At 41.5% G+C, this 21,559-nt stretch overlaps 1 protein-coding gene across 9 annotated transcripts in view; it reads right to left on the bottom strand.

Annotated features, from left to right (window-relative positions):
- Positions 1–3,684, bottom strand: part of BTNL8 (butyrophilin like 8) — a 51,748-nt gene extending 48,064 nt beyond the window's left edge. For 6 of the 9 annotated variants that reach the window (NM_024850.3, NM_001159708.2, NM_001040462.3 and 3 more), the window contains exon 1: positions 3,484–3,684. In NM_024850.3, coding sequence (NP_079126.1) covers positions 3,484–3,532 — 49 coding nt within the window. In that variant the 5' untranslated portion in view covers positions 3,533–3,684. Of the gene's footprint in view, positions 1–345; positions 422–446; positions 498–3,483 lie in introns of those variants that run through there. The other 3 variants (XM_047417764.1, NM_001159709.2, XM_011534650.3) reach the window with 2 other exon arrangements.
- Between the last annotated feature and the right edge of the window lie 17,875 nt (positions 3,685–21,559).

Here is a 21,559-nt window from a genome sequence, read left to right as displayed (position 1 = left end):
TTGTAGGGACATGGATGAAATTAGAAATCATCATTCTCAGTAAACTATCGCAAGAACAAAAAACCAAACACCGCATATTCTCACTCATAGGTGGGAATTGAACAATGAGATCACATGGACACAGGAAGGGGAATATCACACTCTGGGGACGTTGTGGGGTAGGGGGAGGGGGGAGGGATAGCATCGGGAGATATACCTAATGCTAGATGACGAGTTAGTGGGTGCAGCGCACCAGCATGGCACATGTATACATATGTAACTAACCTGCACAATGTGCACATGTACCCTAAAACTTAAAGTATAAAAGCAAAAACAAAAAAAAAAACCCTTTATAGTGTGACCTACTCAGGGCTCCATTGGGCTGGGCTGGAGATGTGCATCAGGGGGAAACATTCATCACAATCCTATTTCTAAAGCCAGTGACTTGCATTTGTGTATCTCCTTACATTTGACAAACCATGTCCACATCAGTTACTTCATTCGATCTTGAGGAGCACCTGCAGAAATGTGTATTATTAATGTTTTTATTTTTAAGATGAGAAAACCATGTTATCCAGAGGAAAAAGTCTCTTTCTGAATGTAGACCCTTTGATTCCAGGAGGTTCTATTGCCACATTCTCTCCCATCTGCCCATTTGCTTCAATTAAAAAAAAAACCCAAACATCCCCATTTCCATCGTCCTTGCTGAAAACCAAAGTTGACGTCTTTCTAATGGCCCAGAGAAGAGTATGGGCCATAAAGTCTCCAGTTTGCGGCAATTCGTTAAGGTTTCCTTCAAGCACAATATTATATCAATATTTTATGGCTACTATAGAGGAATGTTACATTTCTGCCCATGGCGCACACAATTATTTGTACTTCCTTAGTTTTTTTTGAAAATCTGCTTGTTCTGCCAAGTTCTGAAAGACATGCTGTGACACTGAAACAAGATTTTGCAGTCTGTTTTCTGTAAATTTGTTCTTTAGCACGTTCACGTGTGACTTATATTTTCCATAGCATGTGCCTTTTACGCTTGTGTAGTAATTTTTTCCACTTTATTTTAGCACTGAAAGGTGGTTCGCCTAGTGCTTTGTCAACATGTCTTGCCTTCATTTTTTTTAAAAAAAATTCTTGGTACATGTATGTCCTCACCTCGCTTTTGAAACTTTCTTCATTGTCTTGCTTCAAGTGTGACAATTACATGTTTTCTGTGAGCCTCCCCTGCACAGCTCTTGGCTCTCTGGGGACAGGGCCTGATTTTCTTGCTCAGCATAGTACCCACTTGATCAGCACAGAGCCAGTCACACAGAACAGGCTCCACAGTTATGCATGTGAACGGTGAGCCCCATTTCCTTTCTTACTTGCTCATCTGTTTAACAATCATTTGAGTAATTTTCCTGGTGTAAATCACTCTTACTACCCTGTAAGGATTACACTGCTTCTTAGAGACCACAGACTATGGAGGCCCACTCCCTTCACCTTCTAAGTACCCACCCCCTTTGACTGGCAGTGTCTCTTGATTCATTCACATGTATCCATTTATGGTATATGGATATACCTGTGTGTGCTGTCTGCATGTGCATCAGAGGGAAGGTGAATTACATGTGTGAATTTCTAGATCAGTGGATACTTTTTCATTTTAGCACTAATTTTTTAGTTTAATTACATTTTATAAATCTTGCTGAAATGTATTTCACTCATGCATCTTTAAGAGTATTATTAAATGAGGCATGACTTTGCAGCCTGGTGTCTGACCAGCTTCTGACCTGGTGTAGCAGATGTTGAGGCCCTGCTCCTCACCACCCAACCCTGAGTCCCCCTGCAGTGGGATGGGCATTTCCCTGCCTGCTGACAGCTCCGTCCCTGGAGCCTGGCCTCTGCCTCTCTGCTGAGGGCTTCCTGCCACCCTTGGAACCTACTTAGCCCTGGCACAAGGCAGCTCAGAAGGTTTGCGATTTTAGCAGTCCTGGGCGGCACATCTCACCCAGTGGGGAAAGGAGACAGTAGATGTTGGAATGACTCTGAGCCACCATCTATAAAGTTCCTCCAAAGGTCCCAGTGGGACTGGGTCCCAGTTGCCACCGCAGCAACGCTCATTAGCGCACCCTCTATGGCTTTCCCCCTACTGGCTTCACTCTCTCCACTCCCTCACTTTGTTTCCCAGAATCACCTGCTCAACGAATCACTGGCAGGAAGGCCCTTGTCTTAGGTCAGGTTTGGGGACCCAGCGTATGCCAGCTGGGCTGCTATGGATGCTGCCTTCAGGGCTGTGTGGGGCTCTTGAGGCAAGGAAACATTTTTCAGGGTACCTCCATTTCTCCGGCCAGCCCTTGCTGCTGTCACCTCTCTTGCCTATAACATCTCCTTTCACTCCTTCCACTTCCTTCCCTTGAAAATAAGAAAGGAACAAGACTGTTGCTGCAACATGCCATGCACCCGTGCAGCTGTGTGCACTCTACATGCACAAGCTCATGCAGTCCTCACCACAGCCCCAGCAGGAATGTGATCGTATCTCCATGTCATCATAAGCAAACCAACACCTAAGGAAGCTGTGAACAATAAAGCTCACAAGAAAATGAAATAAGAGTTTTTAAAAATAAAATGTTTCTGTCTCCAAGATCATTTCCAGGATGTCCTGCTGCCTCACCCGGAAACAGAAGGGAAACAAAGAAGCTCGTCAGAAAATAAATGAAAACAAACTGAAACGAGAGCGTCTCCTGTTAGTAACACATATGGGTTTTTGTTTTAAGGAAACATGCTCTATGTTTTGATTGCCCTTATTTCTGTTTTCTTAGCTTCATTTAGCAAAAAAGATATAGGTGGACAGGTGGCAGGATGAACCTTCACAGACAGAAAGTGAACACAGTCAATCGAATCTTCTGTGGCTGGGTACTGACCATCTAGCCACCAGCATTCTACCCCAACCTCAAGCTTCCTCTGTGAATTGTATTCAGTCACTCAACATCCTATATACTAGGTTCTGTGTTAACAGTAACTGGAAGGAGAAAGAAGAGTGGATTTCTTCCCAGAATATGCCAGGTTTCAGCTAATTTCTCACCTCAAGACCTGTACACCTTCCTCCACCCTCGTGTCTCATACCACAGACATTTCTAACTCAGCATGTCTTTAGCTGGATACATTGTCTTTTCCCCAAAAATCCTAACTGTGTCTCTTCCCAGATGGACATCCATGTCAGCAACCTTGGTGCTCCAATAACCCTGCCTACACCACTCAGCCCATCTGGGAGAAACACTGAATTTATTCACCTTAACACGTTAGGTGTGTCCCCGTCAACGATCACGGTGCGTCTTCAACACCCGTGTTTCCATTATTTGGGGGCTACTATAATTGTTTCCACAGCGCCTGATCCTTCCCCAGGCTGAGGCTAGGAGAAGCCAAAGGAATGGAAACGACAAAGATGCCTTCATTCCATTATGCTGCAACCATTGTAGCTAAAGAACTCAAACTGTTAGTTAGTAAGGAGGAAACAAAGATGAGTCTTACCTGATCCCAGCTTGAGGAGACTCAGAACCAAACTGAGCATGAGAGCCATGGATGTGTTCTGTGAATGGACCTCACGGCATGGAAACGGATGACAGGAGAGGTGACGGATGGATTAGAGAGAAGAGGAGAACTGGCCTAATGCTCAAGGTGCGGAAGCCACGGAGAGGCTCTGCGTGAGCGGAGGGCAAACTGCGCTGTTCTGAGAGTCTACTCCATCGAGACACAGCTGTCATGTACCAGAAGTGTAGGGACTCTAGACTTTGAACCACTGCATAAATGTCTATATCTTATCAAGGAAGCAAAGATAGAAATAGTGTGGATAAGATTGGAGGTGAACTTTGTCCTGGGCAAAACGATGCCCTGTGTGGGTGAAACAGGAATGTCAGATGCGGAAATACTTTTCACGTCCAATCTGGCAGGCAGGGCTGTATGGCCATGGGATCTAGTCCTGAAAAACCTCATGTTAGCACTGGATAGTTTGGTGTCCAAGTAAATAGGCCATGCTCCATTAGTAGTAGCCTACAGCAGGTGACTTGACATTTCCTGGCACAGTCTGAGGTCCTTTTGCTTACCCCTCCATTCTCTGAAGTTCAGGGCCAGGACTGTAATCATGAGGCCAGATAAAAATAACTTTCCAGAACAAAACAGATCCTTAGTGTTAAACATCTGATACATTGGGAAAGGTGCCTGGGCAGGTTCAGACATGAGGAAACTTATTTATTATATAAACTAAGTTCCAGGGCAGCCACAATGAGAGATTTGCAGTCTTTTTAAGCACACGGAAACTCACAAAGTCACCACTTAACTAGATCAGAATGAAAATTTCCACAGATAACCATCAAAATAAACATACTCTAATCATAATGCAATTAAAATTAAAAAGTAATTCAAAAACATAGGAAACTCTATACACTAAGAAATTCTTATGTAACAATTTAAAACAACTCACGAGACTAAATCACAATAAAAGTTAGCATCTAGAATAGGACAAAATGAAAACACTGCATTTAGTCTAAAATCTAGAACACTGACAACACCAAATGCTGGTGAGGATGCGGAGCAACAGGAATTCTCACTGATTGCTGACAGGAATGCAAGACGGTACGGTTGTTCTAGAAGACAGTTCAGCAATTTCCTGCAAAATTAAACATACTTTTATCACCTAATCCAGCAACTGCACTGCTTTTTATTCACCTAAATGACTTGAAAACATATGTCCACATGAAAAATTGCACATGAATGTTTATAGCAGCTTTATTCATAATTGCCAAAAATGTTTGCAACCAGATATCATTCAATAATGATACATAGAATGTATACACAAACTATGGTACATCTATACAATGGAATATTACTCTGTGATAAAAAAAAAAAGGAAATGAGTTGTTGAATGTTGTAAGCAAGAGAGTAGAATAGAAAATTATTGATCTCATGCTGTCTCAGAAATACAGATTTACCAAGGATATATAGACCAAAATACCTTTTTATGAAGCTGCTGAGAAGGCACAGTATCCTCTCCATTCCAGTGGCAGCTATGCCCCACCCATGGCCATTCGAAGCCTAGGCCTAGGCCCAGTGGAACGGTCATGACCCAGGCTTCTGAACCTACAGGCTGCTCTGGCCCCCAAGGACCAAACAGTCCAACCCAGCAAGGAAGCCAAGCCTGGCCTGGTGAAGCAGTTGTACCCTCTCAAGCATGAGCCAAGCACCTTGACCCCAGAGAAGCATGCGCAATAGAATGGCAACAATACCCCCTTGTGTGCACACTAACTGGGGGCCCCAGACTCAGCCCCAGGAAAGCAATGTCTGAGATGGTGGAGCAGCTGTGCTCCCTTGGCACATAAAGCGGCCTGGTGCCCCACCTCCAGAAAAGCTATGCCCAAGCCAGAACACTGGTCTTATTCCCTCAGCACACAAACCAGCCCTGCATCCCACCCGAGGGAAGCTGTACCTGAGCTGGTGGAGTAGTTGTGCTCTCTTGGTGCCTGAGCTCAGTGTAATCTACTTTGCTACCACCACTCCCACAAATTACTGCAGTACGGGCCACTGAGGCATCCACTTGTCACTGACATTGATTATAGCTGAGAAGCTTCACAGAGACTACGCTACTGTGCCAGCCAGAAGCAGAGCCGATACACCCTACTCAGCACCCGAGGACCTATCAACAAGTGAAAGTTTTTTCTTAGAAAAGCTACTTTATAAGTTAGGAGAGGCAAATGTTCTACCAGATGCACATATATCAACACAGGGACACAAGAAACATGAAAAAGCAAAGAAACATGACTCTCCCCAAAAAGGCTGAGGCAGGAAAATCACTTGAATCTGAGAGGTGGAGGTTGCAGTGAGCCGAGATCGTGCCACTGCACTCCAGCCTGGTTGACAGAGTGAGACTCCATCTCAAAATAATAATAATAATAATAATAATAATAATAATAATATAACATTTTTAAAAGTCAGCAAGATTTGAACTAGAAATACCATTTGACCCAGCCATCCCATTCCTGGGCACATACCCAAAGGATTATAAAACATGCTGCTATAAAGACACATGCACACGTATGTTTATTGCGACACTATTCACAATAGCAAAGACTTGGAACCAACCCAAATGTCCAACAATGATAGACTGGATTAAGAAAATGTGGCACATATACACCATGGAATACTATGAAGCCATAAAAAATGATGAGTTCATGTCCTTTGTAGGGACATGGATGAAATTAGAAATCATCATTCTCAGTAAACTATCGCAAGGACAAAAAACCAAACACTGCATGTTCTCACTCATAGGTGGGAATCAAACAATGAGAACATGTGGACACAGGAAGGGGAACATCACACACCGGGGCCTGTTGTGGGGTGGGGGGAGGGGGGAGGGATAGCATTAGGAGATATACCTAATGTTAAATGACGAGTTACTGGGTGCAGCACACCAACATGGCACATGTATACATATGTAACAAACCTGCACGTTGTGCACATGTACCATAAAACTTAAAGTATAATTAAAAAAATAAAAAATAAATAAAAAATAAAAAGTCAGCAAGATTCAAGATAATATAGATAGACTATTGAAAGAAATCAGGAAAAAAAAATCATGGTATAAATTAGAAATTCAGCAAAGAAATAGACATCAAGAAAAATTAAACAGATGTCTTGCCATTAGATTATTCAATGAAGGAAATGAAAAAATACAATAGAGAGCTTCAATGGCAGACTAGATCAAGCTTAAGGACAAAAATAAAGTGAAAAGAAAGAATTTTTTCATGCAAACGGTAAAAAAAGAAAGCAGGGGTGACTATATTTATGTCAGATAAAGTAGGCCAGAAGTCAAAAACTGTTACAAGAGACTAAGATTGTCTTTAAGTAATAATAAGCAAATAAGTTAATCAGACTGTAACAATTATAAATATGCAACCAACATCAAGGTGTGTAAACATATAAAGCAAATATTAGTGGACATGAGGAAAACATAGCAAAACAAAAATACTGGGGAATTTCAATACCCCTTTATTATTATTATTATTATATTTTAAGTTCTGGGATACATGTGCAGGAAGTGCAGGTTTAGGTATATATGTGCCATGGTGGTTTGCTGCACCCATCAAACTATCATCAACATTATGTAATTCTCCTAATGCTACCCCTCCCTCCCCTAGCTCCCTACCCTCCGACAGGCCCTGGTGTGTGATGTTCCCCTCCCTGTGTCCATGTGTTCTCATTGTTCAACTCCCACTTATGAGTGAGAACATGCACTGTTTGGTTTTCTGTTCTTGTGTTAGTTTGCTGAGAATGATGGTGTCCAGCTTCACCCATGTCTCTGCAAAGGACATGAACTCATCCTTTTTTATGGCTGCATAGTATTCCATAGTATATATGTGCCACATTTTCTTTATCCAGCCTATCATTGATGGGCATTTGGGTTGGTTCCAAGTCTTTGCTATTGTGAACAGTGTCACAATAAACATATGTGTACATGTGTCTTTATAGTAGAATGATTTGTAATCCTTTGGGTATATACAGTAATGGGATTGCTGAGTCAAATGGTGTTTCTTGTTCTAGATCCTTGAGGAATCGCCACACTGTCTTCCACAATGGTTGAACTAATTTACACTCCTACCAACAGGCTAAAAGCATTCCTATTTCTTCACATCCTCTCCAGCATCTGTCATTTCCTGACTTTTTAATGATCACCATTCTCACTGGCACAAGATGGTATCTCATTGTGGTTTTGATTTACATTTCTCTAATGACCAGTGATAATGAGCTTTTTTTCATGTTTGTTGGCCATATAAATGTGTTCTTTTGAGAGGTGTCTGTTCATATCCTTCACCCACTTTTTGATCAGATTTTTTTTTCTTGTAGATTTGTTTAACTTCTTTGTAGATTCTGGATATTAGCCCTTTGTCAGATGGATAGATTGCAAAAATGTTCTCGCATTCTGTAGGTTACCTGTGCACTCTGATGATCATTTCTTTTGCTGTGCAGAAGCTCTTTAGTTTAACTAGATCCCATTTGTCTATTTTGGCTTTTGTTGCCATTGCTTTTGGTGTTTTAGTCATGAAGTCTTTGCCCATGCCTATGTCCTGAATAGTATTACCTAGGTTTTCTTTTAGGGTTTTTATGGTTTTAGGTTTTATGTTTAAGTCTTTAATCCATCTTGAGTTAATTTTTGTAATAAGGTATAAGGAAGGAATCCAGTTTCAGTTTTCTGCATATGGCCAGCCAATTTTCTAACACCATTTATTAAATAGGGAATCCTTTCCCCACTGCTTGTTTTTCAACAGGTTTGTCAAAGATCACATGATTGTAGATGTGTGGTGTTATTTCTGAGGACTTGTTCTGTTCCGTTGGTCTATATATCTGTTTTCGTACCAGTACCATGCTGTTTTGGTTACTGTAGCCTTGTAGTATAGTTTGAAGTCACGTAGCATGATGCCTTCAGTTTTGTTCTTTTTGCTGAGGATTGTCTTGGCTATGCGGGCTCTTTTTTAGTTCCATATGAAATTTAAAGTAGTTTTTTATAATTCTGTGAAGAAAGTCAATGGTAGCTTGATGGGAATAGCATTGAATCTATAAATTACTTTGGGGAGTATGGCCATTTTCACAATATTGATTCTTCCTATCCATGAGCATGGAATGTTTTTTCCATTTGTTTGTGTCCTGTCTTATTTCCATGAGCAGTGGTTTGTAGTTCTCCTTGAAGAGGTCCTTCACATTTCTTGTAAGTTGTATTCCTAGGTATTTTATTCTCTCTGTAGCAATTTTGAATGGAAGTTCACTTATGATTTGGCTCTCTGTTTGTCTATTATTAGTGTATAGAAATGCTTGTGATTTTTGCACATTGATTTTGTATCCTGAGACTTTGCTGATGTTGCTTATCAGCTGAAGGAGATTTGGGGATGAGATGCTGGGATTTTCTAAATATGCTATCCTATCATCTGCAAACAGAGAAAATTTGACTTCCTCTCTTCCTGTTTGAATACTCTTTACTTCTTCCGCTTGCCTGATTGCTGTGGCCAGAACTTCCAATACTATGTTCAATAGGAGTGGTGAGAGAGGGCATGCTTGCCTTGTGCTGGTTTTCAAAGGGAATGCTTCCAGCTTTCGCCAATTCAGTATGATATTGGCTGTGGGTTGTTATAAATACCTCTTATTATTTTGAGATACGTTCCATCAATACCTAGTTTATTAGGAGTTGTTAGCACGAAGGGCTATTGAATTTTGTCGAAGGCCTTTTCTGCATCTATTGAGATATTCATGTGGTTTTTGTCGTTGATTCTGTTTATGTGGTGGATTACATTTATTGATTTGTGTGTGTTGAACCAGCCTTGCATCCCAGGAATGAAGCAGACTTGATCATGGTGGATTAGCTTTTTGATGTGCTGATGGATTTGGTTTGCCAATATTTTATTGAGGATTTTCTCATCAATGTTCATCAGGGATATTGGCCAGAAATTTTCCTTTTTTGTTGTGTCTCTGCCAGGTTTTGGTATCAGGATGATGCTGGCCTCATAAAATGAGTTAGAGAGGAGTCCCTCTTTTTCCATTGTTTGGAATAGTTTCAGAAAGAATGATACCAGCTCCTCTTTGTACCTCTGGTAGAATTCGGCTGTGAATCCATCTGGTCTTGGGCTTTTTTTGGTTGGTAGGCTATTAACTACTGCCTCAATTTCAGAACTTGTTATTGGTCTATTTAGGGATTCGACTTCTTTCTGGTTTAGTCTTGGGAGGGTGTATGTGTCCAGGAATTTATCCATTTCTTCTAGATTTTCTAGTTTATTTGCATAGAGGTGTTTATAGTATTCTCTGATGGTAGTTTGTATTTCTGTGGGATCAGTGGTGATATCCCCTTTATCATTTGTTACTATGTCTGTCTGATTCTTCTCTCTTTTCTTCTTTATTAGTCTGGCTAGCAGTCTATCTATTTTGATAATCTTTTCTAAAACAACTCCTGGATTCATTGATTTGTTGAAGGGTTTTTGTGTCTCTAGCTCCTTGAGTTCTGCTCTGATCTTAGTTAATTCTTGTCTTCTGCTAGCTTTTGAATTTGTTTGCTCTTGCTTCTCTAGTTCTTTTAATTGCGACGTTAGGGTGTCAGTTTCAGCTCTTTCCTGCTTTCTCCTATGGGCATTTAGTGCTGTAAATTTCTCTCTAAACACTGCTTTAGCTGTGTCCCAGAGATTCTGGTACATTGTGCCTTTTTTATTGGTTTCAAAGAACTTATTTATTTCTGCCTTAATTTTGTTATTTATCCAGTAGTCATTCAGGAGCAGCTTGTTCAGTTTTCATGTATTTGTGTGGTTTTGAGTGAATTTCTTAATCCTGAGTTATAATATGATTGCACTGTGGTCTGAGAGACTGTTTGTTATGATTTCCATTCTTTTGCATTTGCTGAGGAGTGCTTTACTTCCAATTATGTGATCAATTTTAGAATAAGTACAATGTGGTGCTGAGAAGAATTTATATTCTGTTGATTTGGGGTGGAGAGTTCTGTAGATTTCTGTTAGGTCTCCGTGGTCCAGAGCTGAGTTCAATTCCTGAATATCCTTCTTAATTTTCTGTCTCATTGATCTGCCTAATATTGACAGTGGGGTGTTAACGCCTCCCACTATTATTGTGTGGGAGTCTAAGTCTCTTTGTAGGTCTCTAAAAACTTGCTTTATGAATCTGGGTGCTCCTGTATTGGGTGCATATATGTTGAGGATAGTTATCTTTCCTTGTTGCATTGATCCCTTTACCATTATGTAATGCCCTTCTTTGTCTCTTTTGATCTTGGTTGGTTTAAAATCTATTTTTCAGTGACTAGGATTGCAACACCTGCTTTTTTTTTCCTTTCCATTTGCTTGGTAAATATTCCTCCATCCCTTTATTTTGAGCCTATGTGCGTCTTTGCACATGAGATGGGTCTCCTGAATACAGCACACAGATGGGTCTTGACCCTTTATCCTATTTGCCAGTCTGTGTCTTTTAATTGGGGCATTTAGCCCATTTACATTTAAGGTCAATATTGTTATGTTTGAATGTGATCCTGTCATTATGATGCTAGCTGGTTATTTTGCCCATTAGTTGATGCAGTTTCTTCACAGTGTTGATGGTCTTTACAATTAGGTATGTTTTTGCAGTGGCTGGTTCTGGTTTTTCCTTTACATATTTAGTGCTTCCTTCAGGAGCTCTTGTAAGGCAGGCCTGGTGGTGACAAAATCTCTCAGCATTTGCTTGTCTGTTAAGGATTTTATTTCTCCTTCACTTATGAAGCTTACTTGGCTGGATATGAAATTCGGGCTTGAAAATTCTTTTCTTTCAGAATGTTGAATATTGACCCCCACTCTCTTCTGGCTTATAGAGTTTCTGCCGAGTGATCCACTGTTAGTCTCATGGGCTTCTCTTCATGGGTAACCCAACCTTTCTCCCTGGCTGCCCTTAACATTTTTTCCTACATTTCAACCTTGGTGAATCTGAATATTGTGTGTCTTGGGATTGCTCTTCTCGAGGAGTATCTTTGTGGTGTTCTCTGTATTTCCTGAATTTGAATGTTGGCCTGTCTTGCTAGGTTGGGGAAGTTCTCCTGGATAATATGCTGAAGAGTGTTTTCCAACTTGGTTCCATTCCCCCTGTCACTTTCAGGTACACCAATCAAACGTAGGTTTGGTTTTTCCACATAGTCCCATATTTCTTGGAGACTTTGTTCATTTCTTTTCATTCTTTTTTCTCTAATCTGGTCTTCATGCTTTATTTCATTAAGCTGATCTTCAATCTCTGATATCCTTTCTTCCACTTGATCGATTTGGCTATTGAGACTTGTGTATGCTTCATGAAGTTCTCGTGCTGTGTTTTTCAGCTCCATTGGGTCCTTTATGTTCCTCACTAAACTGGTTGTTCTAATTAGCCATCGTCTAACCTTTTTTCAAGGTTTTTAGCTTCCTTACATTGGGTTAGAACATGCTCCTTTAGCTTGGAAGAGTTTGTTATTACCCACCTTCTGAAGCCTACTTCTGTCAATTCGTCAAACTCATTCTCCATCCAGTTTTGTTCCCTTGCTGGCGAGGAGTTGTGATGCTTTGGAGGAGAAGAGGCATTCTGGGTTTTGGAATTTTTAGCCTTTTTGCACTGGTTTTTCCTCATGTTCGTGGATTTATCTACCTTTAGTCTTTGATGTTGGTGACCTTCAGATGGGGTTCTGTGTGGATGTCCTTTTTGTTGATGTTGATGCTATTCCTTTCTGTTTGTTAGTTTTCCTTCTGACAGTCAGGCTCCTCTGCTGCAGGTCTGCTGAAATTTGCTGGAGGTCCACTCTAGGCCCTGTTTGCCTGGGGATCACAAGTGGAGGCTGCAGAACAGCAAAGATTGCTGCCTGCTCCTTCCTCTGTAAGGTTCGTCCCAGAGGGGCACCCGCCATATGCCAGCCAGAGCTCTCCTGTATGAGGTGTCTGTTGACCCCTGCTGGGAGGTGTCTCCCAATCAGAAGGCACAGGGGTCAGGCACCCAGTTGAAGGGCAGTCTGTCCCTTAGCAGAACTCGAACACTGTGCTGGGAGATCCGCTGCTCTCTTCAGAGCTGGCATGCAGGGCTGTTTAAGTCTGCTGAAGCTGTGCCCACAGCCTCCCCTTCCCCCAGGTGCTCTGTCCCAGTGAGATGGGAGTTTTATCTATAAGTCCCTGACTGGTACTGCTGCCTTTCTTTCAGAGATCCCCTTCCCAGAGACGAGGACTCTAGAGAGGGAGTCGGGCCACAGCCGCTTTGCTGAGCTGCGGTGGGCTTTGCCCAGCTTGAACTTCCTGGTGGCTTTGTTTACACTGAAGGGAAAACCGCCTACTGAAGCCTCAGTAATGGCAGACAACTCTCCCCCAACCAAGCTCTATCATCCCAGGTCAACTTCAGACTGCTGTGCTGGCAGCGAGAATTTCAAGCCAGTGGGTCTTAGCTTGCTGGGCTCCATGGGCGTGGGATCCACTGAGCTAGACCACTTGGCTCCCTGGCTTCAGCCCCCTTTCCAGGAGAGTGAATGGTTCTGTCTCACTGGCATTCCAGGTACCACTGGGGTATGAAAAAAAAAACTCTTACAGCTAGCTCAGTGTGTGCCCAAACACCTGCCAAGTTTTGTGCTTGAAACCCTGGGCCCTGGTGGCGTAGGCACCCAGGGAATCTCCTGGTTTGTGCGTTGCAAAGACCTTGGGAAAAGTGTAGTATCTGGGCCAGAGTGCACCGTTCCTCACAGCACAGTCCCTCATGGTTTCCTTTGAGTAAGGGAGGAAGTTCCCCAACTTCTTGCACTTCCTCGGTGAGGCAATGCCCCACCCTGCTTCCACTCACCCTCCACCAACTGCACCCACTGTCTAATCAGTCCCACTGAGATAAGCCGGGTACCTCAGTTGGAAATCGCCTGCCTTCTGCATTGATCTTGCTAGGAGCTGCAGAATGGAGCTGTTCCTACTCGGCCATCTTGCCAGTCACTGACTGGGGCTAGCTGGTTATTTTGCCCATTAGTTGAGGCAGTTTCTTCACAGTGTCGATGGTCTTTACAATTTGGTATGTTTTTGCAGTGGCTGATACTGGTTTTTCCTTTACCTATTTAGTGCTTCCTTCAGGATCTCTTGTAAGGGAAGCCTGGTGGTGACAAAATCTCTCAGCATTTGCTTGTCTGTAAAGGATTTTATTTCTCCTTTGCTTATGAAGCTTAGTTTGGCTGGATATGAAATTCTGGGTTGAAAATTCTTTTCTTTAAGAATGTTGAATATTGGCCCCCACTCTCTTCTGGCTTATAGGATTTCTGTAGACAGATCCGCTGTTAGTCTGATGGGCTTCCCTTTGTGGGTAACCTGATCTTTCTCTCTGGCTGCCCTTAACATTTTTTCCTTCATTTCAACCTTGGTGAATCATGATTATGTATCTTGGGGTTGCTCTTCTTGAGGAGTATCTTTGTGGTGTTCTCTGGTTCAATACCCCTTTTTAAAAATAGATACATGAACCAGACAGAAAATTAACAAGAAAATACTGGATTTGAACTGTACATTAGAGCAAATGGACTTAAACAGATATGTACAGACAGAAGAATGTGTATTTTTCCTAGTGTACATGGAACATTATCCAGGATAAACCAAATATGAAGCCATAAAACAAGTCTTAGCAAACTCAAGAAGATTAAAATCATAATGGTATTGTTTTCAGCCATGACAGTATAAAATTAGAAATCAGTAACAGGAGAAATTTTGGAAAAGTCACAGATATGTGGAAATTAAACAGCATGTTTCTGAAAAATCAATGGATCAAATAAGAATCAAAGGTAAATTAAAAGTGCTCACTTCAGTAGCACATATACAGAAGGAATTTTTTAAATTTTGATATGAATGACAATAAAAATACAATATATCAAAACCCATGGGGTGTAGCAAAAGTGGTTCTAAAGGGGAACTTTATAGGTATAAATGCCTACATTAAAAAAGAAGAAATACCTTAATCAAAAAATTTAATGTTATGCCCTAAGGAGCTAGAAAAAGAGAAACCTAAACCCAAAGTTAACTGAAGGAAGGGAACAATAATATCAGAGCAGAAATAAATCAAATAGAGAACAGAAAAACCATGTGAAAAAAACTAATAAAACCAAGACTTGATTCTTTGAAAAATAATTTTTTTTGAGACAGAGTCTTGCTCTGTTGCCCAGGCTGGAGTGCAGTGGCATGATCTCAGCTCACTGCAACCTCTGCCTCCTGGGTTCAAGCAATTCTCCTGCCTCCACTTCCCAAGTAGCTGGGACTATAGGCGTGCACCACCATGCCTAGAAAATTTTTTTGTATTTTTAGTAGAGACAGGGTTTCACCATGTTGGCCAAGCCAGTCTCGAACTCCTGACCTCTCGGGTGATCCGCTGCCTCGGCCTCCCAAAGTGCTGGGATTACATGCATGAGCCACTGTGCCCAGCCTTGAAAAATAAATAATATCAAATTCCAAGATAGACTAAGAAAAAAAAAAGACTGGAATAAATAAAATCAGAAATATAAATGAAGACCATACAATACATGCCTCAAAAATAAAAAACATCATAATAAACAATTATGAAAAAGCATCTGCCAACAAATGGCACAACTTATAAAAGTTAATAAACTACTATAAAACAGTAACTTTTAAGAATAAATTAGGAAGAAATAGAAAGCTTGAACAAACTATTATAATAATAAATAAAGACACTGAAGAAGTAATTAGAAACCTTCCAACAGAAATAAAGCTTGGGACCAGATGGCTTTATGGCTGAATTTTACCAAACATTCAAAGAAGAATTATTACCACTTAACTGTCCCAGAAAATAGAGCTGGGAGAATACTTACAACATACTTTACAAGGCCAGCATCACTTTCACAACTAAGCAAGAAAAAGACACCACAATAGGTGTCTTTAGGCCAAAAAAAAAAAAAAAAACTATAGGCCAATAACTCATATAATGCAAAACTCCTCAGTCAAATATTAGCAAACCAAATTCATCAAACACATCAAAAACAGTATACGTCATCACCAAGTGGGATTTATCCTTGGCATGAAAGGCTGGTTAACATACTCAATCAATGTAATACATCACATTTACAGCACGAAAAACAGAAAACCACATGATTATCTCAATTGACACAGAAAAGTATTTGACAAAATTCCACGTCCATTCTTGATTTAAAAAACTCTTAATGGTCAGGTGCAGTGGCTCACACCTGTAAACCCAGCACTTTGGGAGGCCGAAGTGGGTAGATCACTTGAGGTCAGGAGTTCGAGACCAGCCTGGCCAACAAGGTGAAATCCCGTCTCTACTGAAAATACAAAAATTAGCCAGAGGTAATGGTGTGTGCCTGTAGTCCCAGCTACTCAGGAGGCTGAGACAGGAGAGTCACTTGAACCCAGGAGGCAGGGGCTGTAGTGAGCCAAGATTGCACCACTGCACTGCAGCCTGGGTGACAGAGTGAGATTCCTTCTCAAAACGAACAAAAAACTCTTAACAATTCATGTATAAAAGTAAAATTCTGGCCGGGAGCAGTGGCTCACGCCTGTAATCCCAGCACTTTGCAAGGCCGAGGCGGGCAGATCATGAGGTCAGGAATTCGAGATGAGCCTGACCAACATGTTGAAACCCCATCTCTACTAAAAATACAAAAATTAACTGGGCGTGGTGGCACACACCTGTAATCCCAGCTACTCGGGAGGCTGAGGCAGGAGAATCACTTGAACCCTGGAGGCAGAGGTTGCAGTGAGCCAAGATTGCGCCACTGCACTCTAGCCTGGGTGACAGAGTGAGACTCTATCTCAAAAAAAACTAGATATTGTGGGTCGCTTCTAAGATGGCCAAATAGGAACAACTCCGGTCTGCAGCTCCCAGCGAGATCAATGCAGAAGATGAGTGATTTCTGCATTTCCAACTGAGGTACCTGGCTCATCTCACTGGGACTGGTTGGACAGTGGGTGCAGCCCATGGAGGGCAAGCTGAAGTAGGGCAGGGCATCACCTCACCTGGGAAGCACAAGGGGCAGGGGATTTCCCTTTCCTAGCCAAGGGAAGCCATGACAGACTATACCTGGAGAAACAGTACACTCCTAGCCAAATACTGCACTTCTCCCACGGTCTTAGCAACTGGCAAACCAGGAGATACCCTCCTGTGCCTGGCTTGCTGGGTCCCATGCTCACAGAGCCTTGCTCGCTGCCAGCACGGCAGTCTGAGATCAACCTGCGATGCTGCAGCTTGACAGGGGGAGGAGTGTCCACCATTGCTGAGGCTTGAGTGGCTCACTGTGTAAACAAAGCAGCCAGGAACCTTGAACTGGGCGGAGCCCACTGCAGCTCAGCAAGGCCTACTGCCTCTCTAGATTCCACCTCTGAGGGCAGGGCATAGTAGAACAAAAGTCAGTAGGCAGCTTCTACAGACTTAAACGTCCCTGTCTGACAGCTCTGAAGAGAGCAGTGGTTCTCTTAGCATGGCATTTGAGCTCCAAGAACGGACAGACTGCCTCTTCGGGTGGGTCCCTGACCCCCGTGTAGCCTGACTGGGAGACACCTCCCAGTAGAGGCCAACAGACACCTCAAATAGGTGGGTGCCCCTCTGGGATGAAGCTTCCAGAGGAAGGATCAGGCAGCAATATTTGCTGTTTTGCAGCCTCCACTGGTGATACCCAGGCAAACAGGGTGTGGAGTGGACCTCCAGCAAACTCCAAACAGACCTGAAGCTGAGGGGCCTGACCGTTAGAAGGAAAACTAACAAACAGAAAGGAATAGCTTCAACATCAACAAAAAGGACATCCACACCAAAACCCCATCTGTAGGTCACCAACATCAAAGACCAAAGGTAGATAAAACCACAAGATGGAGAGAAACCAGAACAGAAAAGTGGAAAATTCCAAAAACCAGAGCGTCTCTTCTCCTCCAAAGGATCACAGCTCCTCACCAGCAAGGGAACAAAACTGGATGGAGAATGAGTTTGATGAATTGACAGAAGTAGGCTTCAGAAGGTCAGTAATAACAAACTCCTCCGAGCTAAAGGAGCATGCTCTAACCCATCACAAGGAAGCTAAAAACCTTGAAAAAAGGTTAGACAAATGGCTAACTAGAATAACCAGTGTAGAGAAGACCTTAAATGACCTGATGGAGCTGAAATACACAGCATGAGAACTTTGTGACGCATGCACAAGCTTCAGTAGCCGATTTGATCAAGTGGAAGAAAGCATATCAGTGATTGAAAATCAAATTAATGAAATAAAGCAAGAAGACAAGATCAGAGAAAAAAGAGTGAAAAGAAACAAACAAAGCCTCCAAGAAATATGGGACTATGTGAAAAGACCAAATATACATTTGATTGGTGTACCTGAAAGTGACGGGGGGAATGGAACCAAGTTGGAAAACACTCTTCAGAATATTATGCAGGAGAACTTCCCCAACCTAGCAAGACAGGCCAACATTCAAATTCAGGAAATACAGAGAATACCATAAAGATACTCCTTGAGAAGAGCAATCCCAAGACACATAATTGTCAGATTCACCAAGGTTGAAATGTAGGAAAAAATGTTAAGGGCAGCCAGGGAGAAAGGTCGGGTTACCCTCAAAGGGAAGCCCATCAGACTAACAGTGGATCACTTGGCAGAAACTCTACAAGCCAGAAGAGAGTGGGGGTCAATATTCAACATTCTGAAAGAAAAGAATTTTCAACCCAGAATTTCATATCCAGCCAAACTAAGCTTCATAAGTGAAGGAGAAATAAAATCCTTTACAGACAAGCAAATGCTGAGAGATTTTGTCACCACCAGGCCTGCCTTACAAGAGCTCCTGAAGGAAGCACTAAACATGGAAATGGAAAGGAACAACTGGTACCAGCCACTGCAAAAACATGCCAAATTGTAAAGACCATTGACACTATGAAGAAACTGCATCAATTAACAGGCAAAATAACCAGCTAACATCATAATGACAGGATCACATTCAAACATAACAATACTGACCTTAAATGTAAATGGGCTAAATGCCCCAATTAAAAGACACAGACTGGCAAATTGGATAAAGAGTCAAGACCCATCTGTGTGCTGTATTCAGGAGACCCATCTCACGTGCAAAGACGCACATACGCTCAAAATAAAGGGATGGAGGAAGATCTACCAAGCAAATGGAAAGCAAAAAGAAAAGCAGAGGTTGCAATCCTAGTCTCTGATAAAACAGACTTTAAACCAACAAAGATCAAAAGAGACAAAGAAGGCCACCACATAATGGTAAAGGGATCAATTCAACAAGAAGAGCTAACTATGCTAAATATATATGCACCCAATACAGAAGCACCCAGATTCTTAGAGCAAGTCCTTAGAGACCTACAAAGAGACTTAGACTCCCACACAATAATAATGGGAGACTTTAACACCCCACTGTCAATATTAGGTAGATCAATGAGACAGAAGGTTAACAAGTATATCCAGGACTTGAACAGAGCTCTGGACCAAGCTGACCTAATAGACATCTACAGAACTCTCCACCCCAGATCAACAGAATATACATTCTTCTCAGCACCACATTGTACTTATTCTAAAATTGACCACATAATTGGAAGTAAAAACACTCCTCAGCAAATGTAAAAGAACAGAAATCATAACAAACAGTCTCTCAGACCACAGTCCAATCAAATTAGAACTCAGGATTAAGAAACTCACTCAAAACCACATAAATACATGGAAATTGAACAACCTGCTCCTGAATGACTACCGGGTATGAAATAAAGGCAGAAATAAAGATTTTCTTTGAAACCAATGAGAACAAAGACACAACATACCAGAATCTCTAGGACACATTCAAAGCAGTGTGTAGAGGGAAATTTATAGCACTAAATGCCCACAAGAGAAAGCAGGAAAGATCTAAAATTGACACCCTAACATCACAGTTAAAAGAACTAGAGAAGCAAGAGCAAGCAAATTCAAAAGCTAGCAGAAGACAAGAAATAACTAAGATCAGAGCAGAACTGAAGGAGACAGAGACACAAAAAACCCTTCAAAAAATCAATAAATCCAGGAGCTGGTTTTTTTTAAAAGATCAACAAAATACATAGACCACTAGCAAGACTAATAAAGGAGAAAAGAGAGAAGAATCAAATAGATGCAATAAAAAATGATAAAGGGGATATCACCACCGATCCCACAGAAATACAAACTACGATCAGAGAATACTAGAAACACCTCTACACGAATAAACTAGAAAATCTAGAAGAAATGGATAAATTCCACATACACCCTCCCAAGACTAAACCAGGAAGAAGTTGAATCTCTGAATAGACCAATAACAGGTCCTGAAATTCAGGCAGTAATTAATAGCTTACCAACCAAAAAAAGCCCAGGACCAGACGGATTCAGAGCCGAATTCTACCAGAGGTACAAAGAGGAGCTGATACCATTCCTTCTGAAACTATTCCAAAGAATAGAAAAAGAGGGAATCCTCCCTAACTCATTTTATGAGGCCAGTATCATGCTGATACCAAAGCCTGGCAGAGAAACAACAAAAAAGAGAATTTTAGACCAATATCCCTGATGAACATCGATGTGAAAATCCTCAAGAAAACACTGGCAAACCAAATCCAGCAGCACATCAAAAACTTTGTCCACCACAATCATGTTGGCTTCATCCCTGGGATACAAGCCTGGTTCAACATATGCAAATCAATAAACGTAATCCATCACATAAACAGAACCAAAGACAAAAACCACATGATTATCTCAATAGATGCAGAAAAGGCCTTCAACAAAATTCAACAGCCCTTCATGCTAAATACTCTCAATAAACTAGGTATTGATGGAACGTATCTCAAAATAATAAGAGGTATTTATGGCAAACCCACAGCCAATACCATACTGAATGGGCAAAAACTGGAAGCATTGCCTTTGAAAAGCAGCACAAGCAAGGATGTCCTCTCTCACCACTCCTATTCAACATAGTGTTGGAAGTCCTGGCCTGGGCAATCAGCCAAGAGAAAGAAATGAAGGGTATACAATTAGGAAAAGAGGAAGTCAAATTGTCCCTGTTTGCAGGTAACATGATTGTATATTTAGAAAACCCCATCATCTCAGCCCCAAATCTCCTTAAGCTGATAAGCAACTTCAGCAAAGTCTCAGGATACAAAATCAATGTGCAAAAATCACAAGCATTCCTATACACCAATAATAGACAAACAGAGAGCCAAATCACGAGTGACCTCACATTCACAATTACTACAAAGAGAATAAAATACCTAGGAATCTAACTTACAAGGGATGTGAAGGACCTCTTCAAGCAGAACTACAAACCACTGCTCAACGAAATAAAAGAGGACACAAACAAATGGAAGAACATTCCATGCTCATGAATAGGAAGAGTCAATATCATGAAAATGGCCATACTGCCCAAGGTAATTTATAGATTCAATGCTATCCCCATCAAGCTACCACTGACTTTCTTCACAGAATTGGAAAAAACTACTTTAAAGTTCATATGGAACTAAAAAAGAGCCCGCACAGCCAAGACAATCCTAAGCAAAAAGAACAAAGCTGGAGGCATCACGCTACCTGACTTCAAACTATACTACAAGCCTACAGTAACCAAAACAGCATGGTACTGGTTCCGAAACAGACATATAGACCAATGGAACAGAACAGAGGCCTCAGAAATAATACCACACATTTACAACCATCTGATCTTTGACAAACCTGACAAAAACAAGCAATGCTTAAAGGATTCCCTATTTAATAAATGGTGCTGGGAAAACTGGCTAGTCATATGTAGAAAGCTGAAACTGGATCCCTTCCTTACACTGTATACAAAAATTAACTCAAGATGGAGTAAAGTCTTAAATGTAAGACCTAACACCATAAAAACCCTAGAAGAAAACCTAGGCAATACCATTCAGGACATAAGCATGGGCAAAGACTTCATGACTAAAACACCAAAAGCAAGGGCAACAAAAGCCAGAATTGACAAATGGGATCTAATTAAACTAAAGAGCTTCTGCATAGCAAAAGAAACTATCATCAGAGTGAACAGGCAACCTACAGAATGGGAGAAAATTTTTGCAATCTATCCATCTGACAAAGGGATAATATCCAGAATCT

Source organism: Homo sapiens, chromosome 5 (genome assembly GCF_000001405.40).
Source record: "Homo sapiens chromosome 5, GRCh38.p14 Primary Assembly".
NCBI classification, from domain to species: domain Eukaryota; kingdom Metazoa; phylum Chordata; class Mammalia; order Primates; family Hominidae; genus Homo; species Homo sapiens.
Note: the sequence above shows the minus strand (reverse complement) of the source record. Positions and strands in the feature narration are given on the sequence as shown.